Consider the following 11,912-nt stretch of genomic DNA (forward strand, 5'->3'; position numbering starts at 1 on the left):
AGGGGGGCTTATGCTGAAGAAGGTGTTTAGTCTCTGAGTGATGAGGTTAGCGATGGTGTGGGGTACAGGGAAGAGAAGGTCTTAGAGGTGAGAACATGTTACGGTTACTATCTTCTGTCCCTCTTTTCTTCGCCTTGTCATTAAATAGTGCAGAAAAAGAGTCAGCTTTTGGAAGTGTTTGAAAATAGCCTTTTAATGTTTTAGGCAGCTGACTAAACTCTTGTTCAGAGCGGACTTTGGACCAGAAAATGGAATCATCACCTGGGGAAAAGGGAAATTAAAGGCTGTTTTAATTATGTGAAGAAAAACATTGATACAGTACTTTGCTGTTACTTAACGGTAATGCTATTTGCAGACTCCCTTACAATGAGGAAATCAGCCTTCTTAGGAAGGAAGAGGCTTTTTTTTTTGAGACGGAGTCTCACTCCTGAAGCCCAGGCTGGAATGCAGTGGTGCCATCTCGGCTCACTGCAACCTCCACCTCCTGAGTTCAAGTGATCCTCCCACCTCAGCCTCCCAAGTAGCTGGGATTACAGATGCCCACCACCACGCCTGGCTAATTTTTGTATTTTTAGTCGAGATGGGATTTTGCCATGTTGGCCAGGTGGGTCTTGAACTCCTGGCCTCAAGTGATCTGCCTGTGTTGACCTCCCAAAGTGCTGGGATTATAGGCGTGAGCCACTGTATCTGGCCAGAAGATGATTCTTAAGGCACCTCAGAAAAGGATACCCTAATTAGAATGGAAGATTTGAAAGATGGTAGAATAAAGGATTTTCTATATGGAGTGTTTTTTGCCCACCCCAAAGCCACAGAGTAAATTTTGTCTGCTCCTAAGGTTAATTATATTTCTGAAAGAAGTGATTAGTTGATGAGATGAATCCTGTATCCCCTCCACCACTCTTCACCGTATCCAAGTCTGGACTTCCCTTTGGTTTGGTTTTGTTTTCAGTGTAAGATGAGTGTCAAGTATCATTGTATAATATAAGTCAAATCTTAATTTAAATGTCTTTTTGTTGATCAGCCTTGTCAATGGAAAAGTTAATTCTCTAAAAAAACTGAAAGAAAATATTTCAGGGTTTTCAGATTTTCTGTGCTAATTGAACTTATACTGATATACCCACAAATAGCCAACTTAGCTGAGATTTGGCATATATGTTAAAAGTAAGAATGAATTAAAAGCATGTTGTGACACTGCTGGTAATGTAGATATACTTGGTATAGCAAAATCGGGGGACTAAATCATTATTGCAATGCTTTTTTTTTTTTGAGATGGAGTCTTGCTCTGTCTCCCAGGCTGGAGTGCAGTGGCGCAATCTACGCTCACTGCAAGCTCTGCCTCCCGGGTTCACGCCATTCTCCTGCCTCAGCCTCCCCAGTAGTTGGGACTACAGGCGCCCACCACCACGCCCGGCTAATTTTTTTTGTATTTTTAGTAGAGACGGGGTTTCACCATGTCGGCCAAGATGGTCTCGATCTCCTGACCTTGTGATCCGCCCGCCTCAGCCTCCCAAAGTGCTGGGATTACAGGCTTGAGCCACCGCGCCCGGCCCTATTGCAATGCTTTTTTACCTGGGGCCTGTGGATGGTCCTTAGAAGTTCTAATGAATGCCTTGGTATTGAAGGCAAGATTTTAGGTGTCTGTGCTTTTGTCACCGGAGAGGATTGGTAGCTTTCATCAGATTTTCAACAAAAGGGTCCGTGTCTCACAAAAAAGTTAAGAACCACAGACATTTGAACATACTCTGTACATTGGACTTAAAAAAAATTGATCAAAAGTAACTTACCCTAGCATCCATATCTTCTCTTTCCACTCTGAAAGGCTTAGAATATTAGATATTATAAGATGTACAACTTAACTTTCTATTTAGAATTTTAAATCCCAATGCAATGGCTATAAAAATTATTTCATGAATAAAGAAAGTCTGTAAAAATGAGACACAGTGGGGCCTGGCGTGGTGGCTCATGCCTGTAATCCTAACACTTTGGGAGGCCAGTGCAGGCTGACCACTTGAGGTCAGGAGTTTGAGACCAGCCTGGCCAACATGGTGAAATCCCATCTCTACTAAAAATACAAAAATTAACTGGGAGTGGTGGCATGTGCCCGTAGTCCCAGCTACTCGGGAGGCTGAGGCAGGAGAATTGCTTGAACCCAGGAGGCAGAGGTTGCATTGAGCTGGGATCATGCCACTGCACTCCAGCCCGGGCGACAGAGTGAGACTCCATCTAAAAAAAAAAAAAAAGAGACATATTGCTTTTGACTATGGGATGGTCTTAATAATGTGGATGAAAATTTTCCTGAGATCTGGTGGACTATGTGGAGGAAGAGGGTGTGTTGGATGGCCCCAGTAGTGCTGTGGGTGAAAAATGTCACCTGGACGCCACTGGGAGGCGCTGTGGTACAGGGAGTGACAGGAACCCAGTGTCTACTATTGCCTCAGCTTCCAACTCCCGGGAGACCTTGGACAGGTCACTTAATGTCACTCTGGGTCAATTTTGTTATCTGCAAAATAAAGTATTCTTTTCTCAATGTGTTTCGATGAGACTAAGATATGACAAATGGCAAAGCGCTTTTCTTTTTTTCTTTGAGACGGAGTTTCGCTCTGTCGCCCAGGCTGGAGTACAGTGGCGCGATCTTGGCTCATCACAACCTCTGCCTCCCAGGTTCAAGCGATTCTCTTGCCTCAGCCTCCCGAGTAGCTGGGATTACAGGCGCACACCACCACACCTGGCTAATTTTTGTATTTTTAATAGAGATGGGGTTTCACCATGTTGGTCAGGCTGGTTTCAAACTCCTGACCTCAGGTAATCTGCCCGCCTCGGCCTCCCAAAGTGCTGGGATTACAGGCATGAGCCACCTGCATGGCCTGGCAAAGCACTTTTTAAAACGTGCACCATGACCGTTAAAATAAATATGTAGATAAAAATTGCCAAGATATATTAAGACTGAGGTGCAGAGTAGTAATTTATAGCATGATGGGTTTTGTGTATGAATTTTTACTCAAACATATAGGTGATATATGCAATTTTTTTCTAGAAAAATAAAGAGCTGTGGTTATCTTTACGGAATAGACTAGGACAGGGGAGGGAGGCTTTACTCTTCATTTTATTATTTCTATTAAAAATATTAACAGGGGGCCACTGCTGTGGTTCCTGCCTGTAGTCCCAGACTTGGGAGGCTGAGGTGGGAGGAGCTCAGGAGTTTGAGGCTGCAGTCAGCTGTGATGGTGACACTGCACTCCAGCCTGGGCAACACAGTAAGATCCTGTCTTAAAATATATATATATAAGCCGGGTGCAGTGGCTCATACCTGTAATCTCAGCACTTTGGGAGGCTGAGGCGGGCAGATCTCCTGAGTCCAGGAGTTAGAGACCAGCCTGGCCAACATGGTGAAACCCTGTCTCTACAAAAAATACAAAAATTAGCCAGTTGTGGTGGTGTGAGCCTGTAATTCCAGCTACTCAGGAGGCTGAGACACGAGAATCGCTTAGCCCGGGAGGTGGAGGTTGCAGTGAGCCAAGACTGTGTCACTGCACTCCAGCCTGGGCGACAGAGTGAGACCCTACCACAAACACACACAAAAAATTAAAAAAAAATCATATATATGAAGTATATAAAAATATATACTATATAAAAATATAACTATAAAAATGTATGTATAATATATATTTTATGTAATATATAATATATATTGAAATATATATTAATATTATATATTATTTATATATTAATATATATCTGTACAGCGGGATTATGTTTTGTTTTCTCTGTCATTTCCTCTTGAAAAACTAAAAATAATTTTAAAAATTGAAAGACTCTTGGGAAGAGGGTACTGTGTAGTTGTTAGGTGGGACTGTTATTAATGAAGAATAATCATAGCTGATTTAAGGCCTGATCATAGGAGAGTGTTTACAGGAAGATGCTGCCCAAGGATGAGGACGCATCACAGATTCATTCTCTGGGTCCCTTAAATAGAACAAACCCAGTGACAGTTTTCCTCCCCTAAGAAATCTGTGTCCCTGGCATGCTGTCCTGTGAGACCATGCTGCTGGATTTATTTGCAGCTAACTGCTTCATGCCAGCACCGCTGGAGAGCATTGCCCCAGCAACTGTCCCCTCTCCCAGTTTTCTCCCCTTTCCACTGGATCATTCTCTCCTCACATGCAGGCCTTCCCTAATTCTTGCCTTTCTCGCAGAAGTCTTTGCTTCTGCCTTTGTAAGTTGGGGTAATAATGATGTCTAGGGAGCCTGGTGCATAGTAAGTGACTCTAAAAATAAAAGCACTTATTACTGTTGTGCACTTGAAGTTAAAGGAGAAGTTTCTGGGTTCAGCCCCACAGTAGTACCCTCGGAGGGGTGACTGAGGCCTCTGATTCTTGGTAGGACAGGCACTGCTGGTGAGCTTGGGTGCCTAGCTCCTGCAAACACAGGGTTCCGCAGAGGCCTCATTTTCAGAAAACCCTGTGTTGACCCTACCTTCTTTGTCTCTTTGCTTTCTTTCATTCATTGGGTTCTCTAAAGAGGATTCTGTACTGTACTGTCTCTCTCCAGGTCCTCTCCTCCCATTCTCTCTTTCAGCTTTGTTTTTTTATTGAGACAGAGTGTTGCTCTGTCACCCAGGCTGGAGTGATTGGCATGATCTCGGCTCACTGCAACCTCCACCTCCTGGGTTCAAGTGATTCTCCTGCCTCAGCCTCCCAAGTAGTGGGATTGCAGGTGTGTGCCACCACACCCAGCTAATTTTTTTGTATTTTTAGTAGAGACGGGGTATTGCCACGTTGGCCAGGCTGGTCTTGAACTCCTGGCCTCAAGTGATCCACCCACCTCAGCCTCCCAAGTGCTGGGATTACAGGCGAGGGCCCCTGCGCCTGGCCCTTCCTGCTGTCTTAAGGCCCCAGGGCTGGGGCATCTCTGCTCTTCTTCATACTCACTCTCCAGGGGCCCTCTTCCAGTCTCAGGGGCTTAAACCCCATACACATATATGGCATCAACTCCTAAATTTGGACCTTTCCTCTGATTCCAGAGCTAATCTATTCATCTACTCTTGGATGTCTAATATGCAATACAAAATCAACACGACCAAAACAGGACTCCCGAGTCACCACACCTTCCTGTCCTTCAACTTGCTCATCCCATAGCCTTCCCTCTAGTGGCTCAGACCAAACATTTTGTCGTCATGCTTTACTTCTCTGTTTTTCTCACTCCCTGTATTGCATATATCAGCAAATCCTCTTGGTCCTCCCTTCAAAATATATCCAGAATCTGACCCCTTCTCATGATCACAGCTACCCCCTTGTCTAAGCCCCTTTAGCTCTTGTCTGGGTAATTGCAATAAACTCCTCATTGATGTCCATGCTACCATCCCGTAACAGAGTATTCTGAGCAGCTCAAGAGATCACTTTATTTTTATTTTTGATTTGTAGTCATTCCATTTAACTTTAATTTAATTTTTTTTTTTTTTAGATATGAGGTCTCACTTGTTGTCCAGATGGGGCTGGAACTCCTGGCCTCAAGTGATCTTCCTGTCTTGGCCTCCCAAAGTGCTGGGATTACAGGTGTGAGCTACTGTGTAATTTTTATTTTAGATTTGAGGGTACATATGCAGGTTTCTTTTCTTTTCTTTTTTTTTTTTTTTTTTGAGTCTTGCTCTGTCACCCAGGCTGGAGTGCAGTGGTGTGATCTCAGCTCACTGCAAGCTTGGCCTCCCAGGTTCTCGCCATCCTCCTGCCTTAGCTTCCCGAGTAGCTGGGACTACAGGCACCCGCCACCAAGCCTTGCTAATTTTTTTGTAGTTTTATAGAGACGGGGTTTCACCGGGTTAGCCGGATTGGTGTCAATCTCCTGACCTCGTGATCTGCCTGCCTTGGCCTCCCGAAGTGCTGGGATTACATGTCTGCATGTACCCAGGGCTTAGCTCCCACTTACATGTAAGAACATGTAATATTTTGTTTTGTGTTTCTGGGTTGGTTTGCATAGAAAAATGGTCCCCAGCTGCATTCACGTTGCTGGAAAGGACATACTTTTGTTCTTTTTAATGGCTGCATAGTATTCTATAGAGTATATGCACCACATTTTCTTTATCCAGTCCACTGTTGATGGGCACCTGGGTTGATTCCCTGTTTTTGCTATTGTGAATAGCATGGCAGTGAACATACAAGTGCATGTCTTTTAAAAAATATTCCCTAAAACTAAGCAGAACATGTGTCTTTTTGGTAGAACAATCTATTTTCCTTTGGATATATACCCAGTAGTGGGATTGCAAGGTTGAGTGGTAGTTCTATTGTTAGTTCTTTGAAAAATCTCCAAACTACTTTCCACAGGGGCTGAATTAATTTACATTCCCACTAACCGTGTGTGAGCACTCCCTTCAAAGAGATCATTTTGAAACATAAGTCAGATCATGTCTCTCTTCTGCTTGAAATCCTTCAATGGATCCCCATTTGTTGAGAATAAAAGCCCAAGTCCTAAAGCCCTACACGATGTACCCTCTTCTCACTCTGTCACACTCACCTCCTCTGCTCTCTGCCTTGATGTCTCTGATTTGGCCACGCTGGCCTCTTTGCTATTCCTTATAGATGACACACGTGTTCTCAGCCCAAGGCCATTGCACTTACTGTTCTTTCTGCCTAGAATGCTCTTCCTCCAGGTCTCACCTTCTTGTCTTCCAGTTTTGTGTTTATATGCCACCTAATCCATGAAGCCTGCTCTGACAACCCCATTTACAATAGCAATGAACACTCAACTTTTTCCCCCGCATTTCCTATGCCACTTTCTCTGTTTTGCCTTTTCCTAAAGTGCTTACCATCTGACACATACATACATAAGTATATGCATGCACATATGCATACATGTATGCACACATGTATACACACATGTATGTAGAGCTACTCGCTTGTCTGTTGTCTGTCTTCCTCATGAGCGTGTCAGCTTCATGATTATGGGAGCTTTATTTTGTTCCCTGCTGTATTCCTGGTGCCTAGAATAGTGGCACATTATAGGCTGTCAATATATATTCACTGAATGAGTGAATGAGTGAATTAACTGTCTAAATACTTCTTTCCCCCCCAAGGCAAGTGGCAGGAGCGGAAATTTTAAAGCATTATTTTGTTTGCCTTCTGCTTGATGTTAGCTGGCCAGCTGGTTACCCTGTGAATCGGGAGGAGCCTTCTGATTCCTTTCCAAAACTTAGGCTGGTCAGGGACCACACAGTTCCTCCAAGTTATGGGCTCACAGGGATTCTCATGGGACATTTAGTCAGCACATCTTCCCCTTTGATCTCCCACAGCATACTTGGGGAGTCAACATTTATGCCTATCTGTGAGCCTGGCCCACAGCCTGCCTTCCCTTCAGATGTATCAATGTTTGGCTTTTGGGTAGAGATGCCAAACAAGGAAAAGAAGATTGTTATTTGGGCTAGGAATTACTTCCAAAAGCCAAATGTGAGAGAAGTGCTACCACAAAGGTTAGCACACACAAATAGCCTGAAAACTGGCTGGAACAATTCTGCTTGCTACAAATAGAGATGAAAAGACATTTCTAAATGTAGTCCCAAACAATCAGACTGCCAGAATTGGAAGGGCATTCCTTTCCCTCCCTCCTTTTTTCCCTCCCTTCTTTCCTTTCTTCCTCTCTCAAAGAGGACACCAAGGGCCAGTGAAATGAGACGAATCTCCAGGGTCACACAGTTAGTGGCAGAGTCAGAGCCAAAACTCAGGTTTCCTAATTCTTACTCTTTACAATATACTATTGTGGTGCCTTCCCAGTAAGCAGGGGAATAGTAAGAAAAAATTTCAATTAAATATACTGGAGAAGTTAATTGCTTAGTTCTCAAAAAGCTCAGTGCTAGTGAACAGCTAGCCAGAGTGTCACCCAAGAGATGGAAAAATGGACATTTCCAGCTGGGCACAGTGGCTCATACCTGTAATCCCAGCACTTTGGGAGGCTGAGGTGGGCGGATCGCTTGAGCTCAGGAGCTCAAGACCAGCTTGGGCAACATGGTGAAACCCTGTCTCTACAAAAAATACAAAAATTATAAAAATTAGCCGGGCATGGTGGCATATGCCTATAGTCCCAGCTACTTGGGAGGCTGAGTTGGAAGGATGGCTTGAGCCTGGGAGGCAGAGGTTACAGTGAGCTGAGATGGCGCCATTCCACTCCAGCCTGGGTGACAGAGCCAGACCCTGTCTCAAAAAAAAAAAAAAAAAAAAAGTTTTTAATGGTATAACAATATATCTATATTTATATATATCTTTGTAATAGATAAATATATAGAATGCACATAAAATTTGGAATACTCATTCTCAGTCAGGATACACAGATTCTCCAAGGAAGCTACTTAGACATGGTGCCTAGAAGTCCTGGAAGTCAAATCCATGATTTGACTCCAATGACTACATCCTATACCATCATGTGATAGAAGATAAGACTAAAATATATTTTTTGTATTTTCTTTATATTTTTGTGACCTTTGTAACCAGGGAGCTTTGGCATGATAGTCATCTTAAATAAATCAAAACATGATTTAATAAAAATGCCATTTTACAAAACTATAACTCTTAGCAGGAAACATAGGTGTAAATCTTCATGACGTTGGAGTAGGCAACAGTTCCTTAAACATGACACCAAAGGCATAAGCAACAAAAGAAGAAACAGGTCAATTAAACTTTATCAAAATAAAAAACTTCTGTGCAGAAAAGGACTATCAAGAAAGCAAGAAGCCTGGGCATGGTGGCTCATCCCTATAATCCCAGCACTTTGGGATCCTGAGGTGAGAGGATCACGTGAAGCCAGGAGTTTGAAACCAATGTGGGTAACTTAGTGAGACCTCATCTCTGCAAAACATTGTTTTTAAATTTAAAAATTAGCCTGGCATGGTGGTGTGCCTGTAGTCCCAGCTATTCAGGAGGCTGAGGTGGGAGGATCACTTGAGCCCGGGAGGTTGAGGCTGCAGTGAGTCGTGATCACACCACCTCTGCACTGCAGCCTGGGGACCCTGTCTCAAAAAAAAAAAAAAAAAAAAAGACAACTCACAGAATGGGAGAAAACATTTGTAAATAAAATATTTGTAAATCTTATCTCTGATTAGGATCTAGTATCCAAAATATATTTAAACAACTCATAAAAGAATAAAAAGACAACTGCATTTAAAAATGGGCAAAGAATCTGAACAGACATTTCTCCAAAGCAGATATACAGATGGCCAATAAGAACATAAAATGATGCTCAACATCATTAGTCATTAGGGAAATAAATCAAAACCACAGTAAGATACTACTTCACACCCACTGGGATGGCTATGATGAAAAAAAAAAAGAAACACCAGAAAATAAGTGTTAGCAAGGATGTCGAGAAATTAGAACACTCATAACATTGCTGGTGGGAAGGCAAAATCCTCAGCCACTTCAGGAAACAGTCTGGGAGTTCCTTATAAGGTTAAACAGTTACCTTATAACCCAGAAATTCCATTCCTAAGTATATACTCAAGACAACCGAAAACATACATTCACACAAGAACTTGTGCATGAATGCTCATAACAGCATTACTCATAACAGCATTACTTATGAATGCTCATAACAGCATTACTCACAATAGTCAAAAGAAGGAAACAACCCAAATGGCCACCAGCTGATGAATGGAGAAACAAAATGTGGCACACAGTGGAATATTATTTAGCCATAAAAAGAAACGAAATACCGATGCATGCTAGAACGTGAATGAACCTTGAAAACATTATGCTAAGCTAGAGAAGCCAGACAGAAAGGGCCACATACTGTATGATTAAATTTATAGGAAATATCCAGAATAGGCAAATCCAGAGAGACAAAGTAGATTAGTGATTGACGGGGGATGGGTGGAGGGAGGAATTGGGAGCACCTGCTAACAGGTATAGGGTTAATTCTTGGTGTGATAGAAATGTTCTGCAGTTAGATGGTGGTGATGGTTGTATAACTCCATGAATTTGCCACTGAATTATACATTTCAAAATGTTTAAAATGGTGAAAATTTTATCTCAATAAAAATAGTATTCTACAAGCTTTAAGTGATACATATATTTGAATCATCTAATTTAAATTAAGTTTCTGTGTTCTGTTTTTTTTTTAAAGAGATAGGGTCTTGCTCTGTTGCCCAGGCTGCAGTGCAGTGGCACAATCATAGCTCACTGCAGCCTCAAACTCCTGGACTTAAGCAATCTTCCTGCCTCAGCCTCCCAAGTAGCTCAGACTACAGGCATGTGCCACCACACCTGACTAATTTTGAAAAATTGTTTGTAGTGATAGGGTCTCACTATGTTCCCTAGGCTTGTTTCGAAATCCTGGGCTCAAGCTATCCTCCTGCTTCGGCCTCCCAAAGTGTTGGGATTACAGGCGCAAGCCACCGCACACAGCCTTCTGTGTTCTTTATTGCAAGCAAGCTTTGTTTCTTTTTTATAGTCTGTCAGGGTTTGATTTTGAGGCAACTCCAGGTTGGGGTTTGGGCATATGCTTGTTGAATTTTATGTGGTTGTTATACCTCACCTCCTGCCCAGCTAGTTTATAGTCTCACTTTCAGAAGATAGTAAGGGAATCTGGCCATCACTAAAATCATGTCTACCTAATGGCAAAACATTTGGTGAATTTCATTTAAAAAATCAAGCTGCAAAAACTAGACTCTTAGAAGTCAAGATTGTGGTTGCCCTTGGTGGGGGGATGCAGATGATAATAATTTGTAAGGAAACATGAGGGAGGTTTCTGCAGTGCTAGGGATATTCTATTTTGCTGGATGCTGGTTACAGGGGTGTGTTTGATTTGTGAAAATTCATCTTGTGGTACACTTACACAATGTGCACTGTTCTGCATGTTTGTTATACTTCAATACCAAGTTCATAATTCAATTCAACCTCCAGATAGGTATGTATGATATCAACAAATTGGTGTAATTAACTGGGTACCAGAGTTCACTAACTTGGCCTGCTGCCTTAGAGATGACACCCAGCCATGGCCATGGATTCCAAAAGGTTTTGTTTCCATGGACAGCTGCGTAGGTCAGAGCTCTGCACCAGGGCCCTGTCATCCTCACCATCTCCTAACAATGGATTTCAACAGCAAGGCCATGGCTCAGCTGTGCCTCCTATGTATTGGGGCTGCTGGAATGTAAACCCCCTGGAGGAGGCGATGCTCTGAGTCAGGAGTAGCACTACCAGGCAGGTGTGCCCCACTCCCTGCTCTGCCACTGGTGCCAGACCCCCAGAAGCTACCATGGAGCTTGCCCTTTCCACCTGGACCCAGAGATGTCATGGTGGGTGCCCATGACAAACTGACCCAACTGGTATTCTAGTGGCCTCAGGCCCACAATACTAGATCTAAAGTATTCCATGCTAAATGTATTTCAGCATTAAGGTATTTTTGAATTTTAGAAAGGTGATACATTGCATTTAGTATATGTTATACCATACTGCCAACATGGTCTGGGGTAGCTTTCTGTAATCAGACAGTGATGAATTTTTCCACTAAAGGGAATGAAGACTACAAATAGTCTCATTTCAATTCAGTCCAATGTGTGCTACTAAATGAGTTTGTGTCAAACTTCAAAAAGTTTTTTAGGCTGGGTGCAGTGGGTCATGCCTGTAATCCCAGCACTTTGGGAGGTTGAGGTGGGAGGATTGCTTGAGTCCAGGAGTTCAAGACCAGCCTGGGCAACATGGTGAAACCCGATCTCTACAAAAAAAATTAGCCAGATGTGATGGCATGTGCTCGTAGTCCTAGCTACTTGGGAGGCTGAAGTGGGAGGATCACCTGAGCCCAGGAGGTCAAGTCTGCAGTGAACTGTGATTGTACCACTGCACTCCAGCCTGAGTGACAGGGCAAAACTTAGTCTCAAAAAAAAGTTTTTTGGTATTCAGAGTTTGGGGATTTTGGAATTGCTCATAAGAGAGAAC

General features: G+C 42.9%; 1 annotated feature.

Moving 5' to 3' along the window:
* Positions 2,424 to 2,473: a silencer, noted in NCBI's record as "silent region_14465". NCBI's record gives its function as "represses an Ori minimal core promoter by ATAC-STARR-seq in GM12878 lymphoblastoid cells {active_cell/tissue: GM12878}" and the evidence as "EXISTENCE:reporter gene assay evidence [ECO:0000049][PMID:35858748]".

The sequence above is a fragment of the Homo sapiens genome, chromosome 3, assembly GCF_000001405.40.
Source record: "Homo sapiens chromosome 3, GRCh38.p14 Primary Assembly".
Classification (NCBI taxonomy): Eukaryota; Metazoa; Chordata; class Mammalia; order Primates; family Hominidae; genus Homo; species Homo sapiens.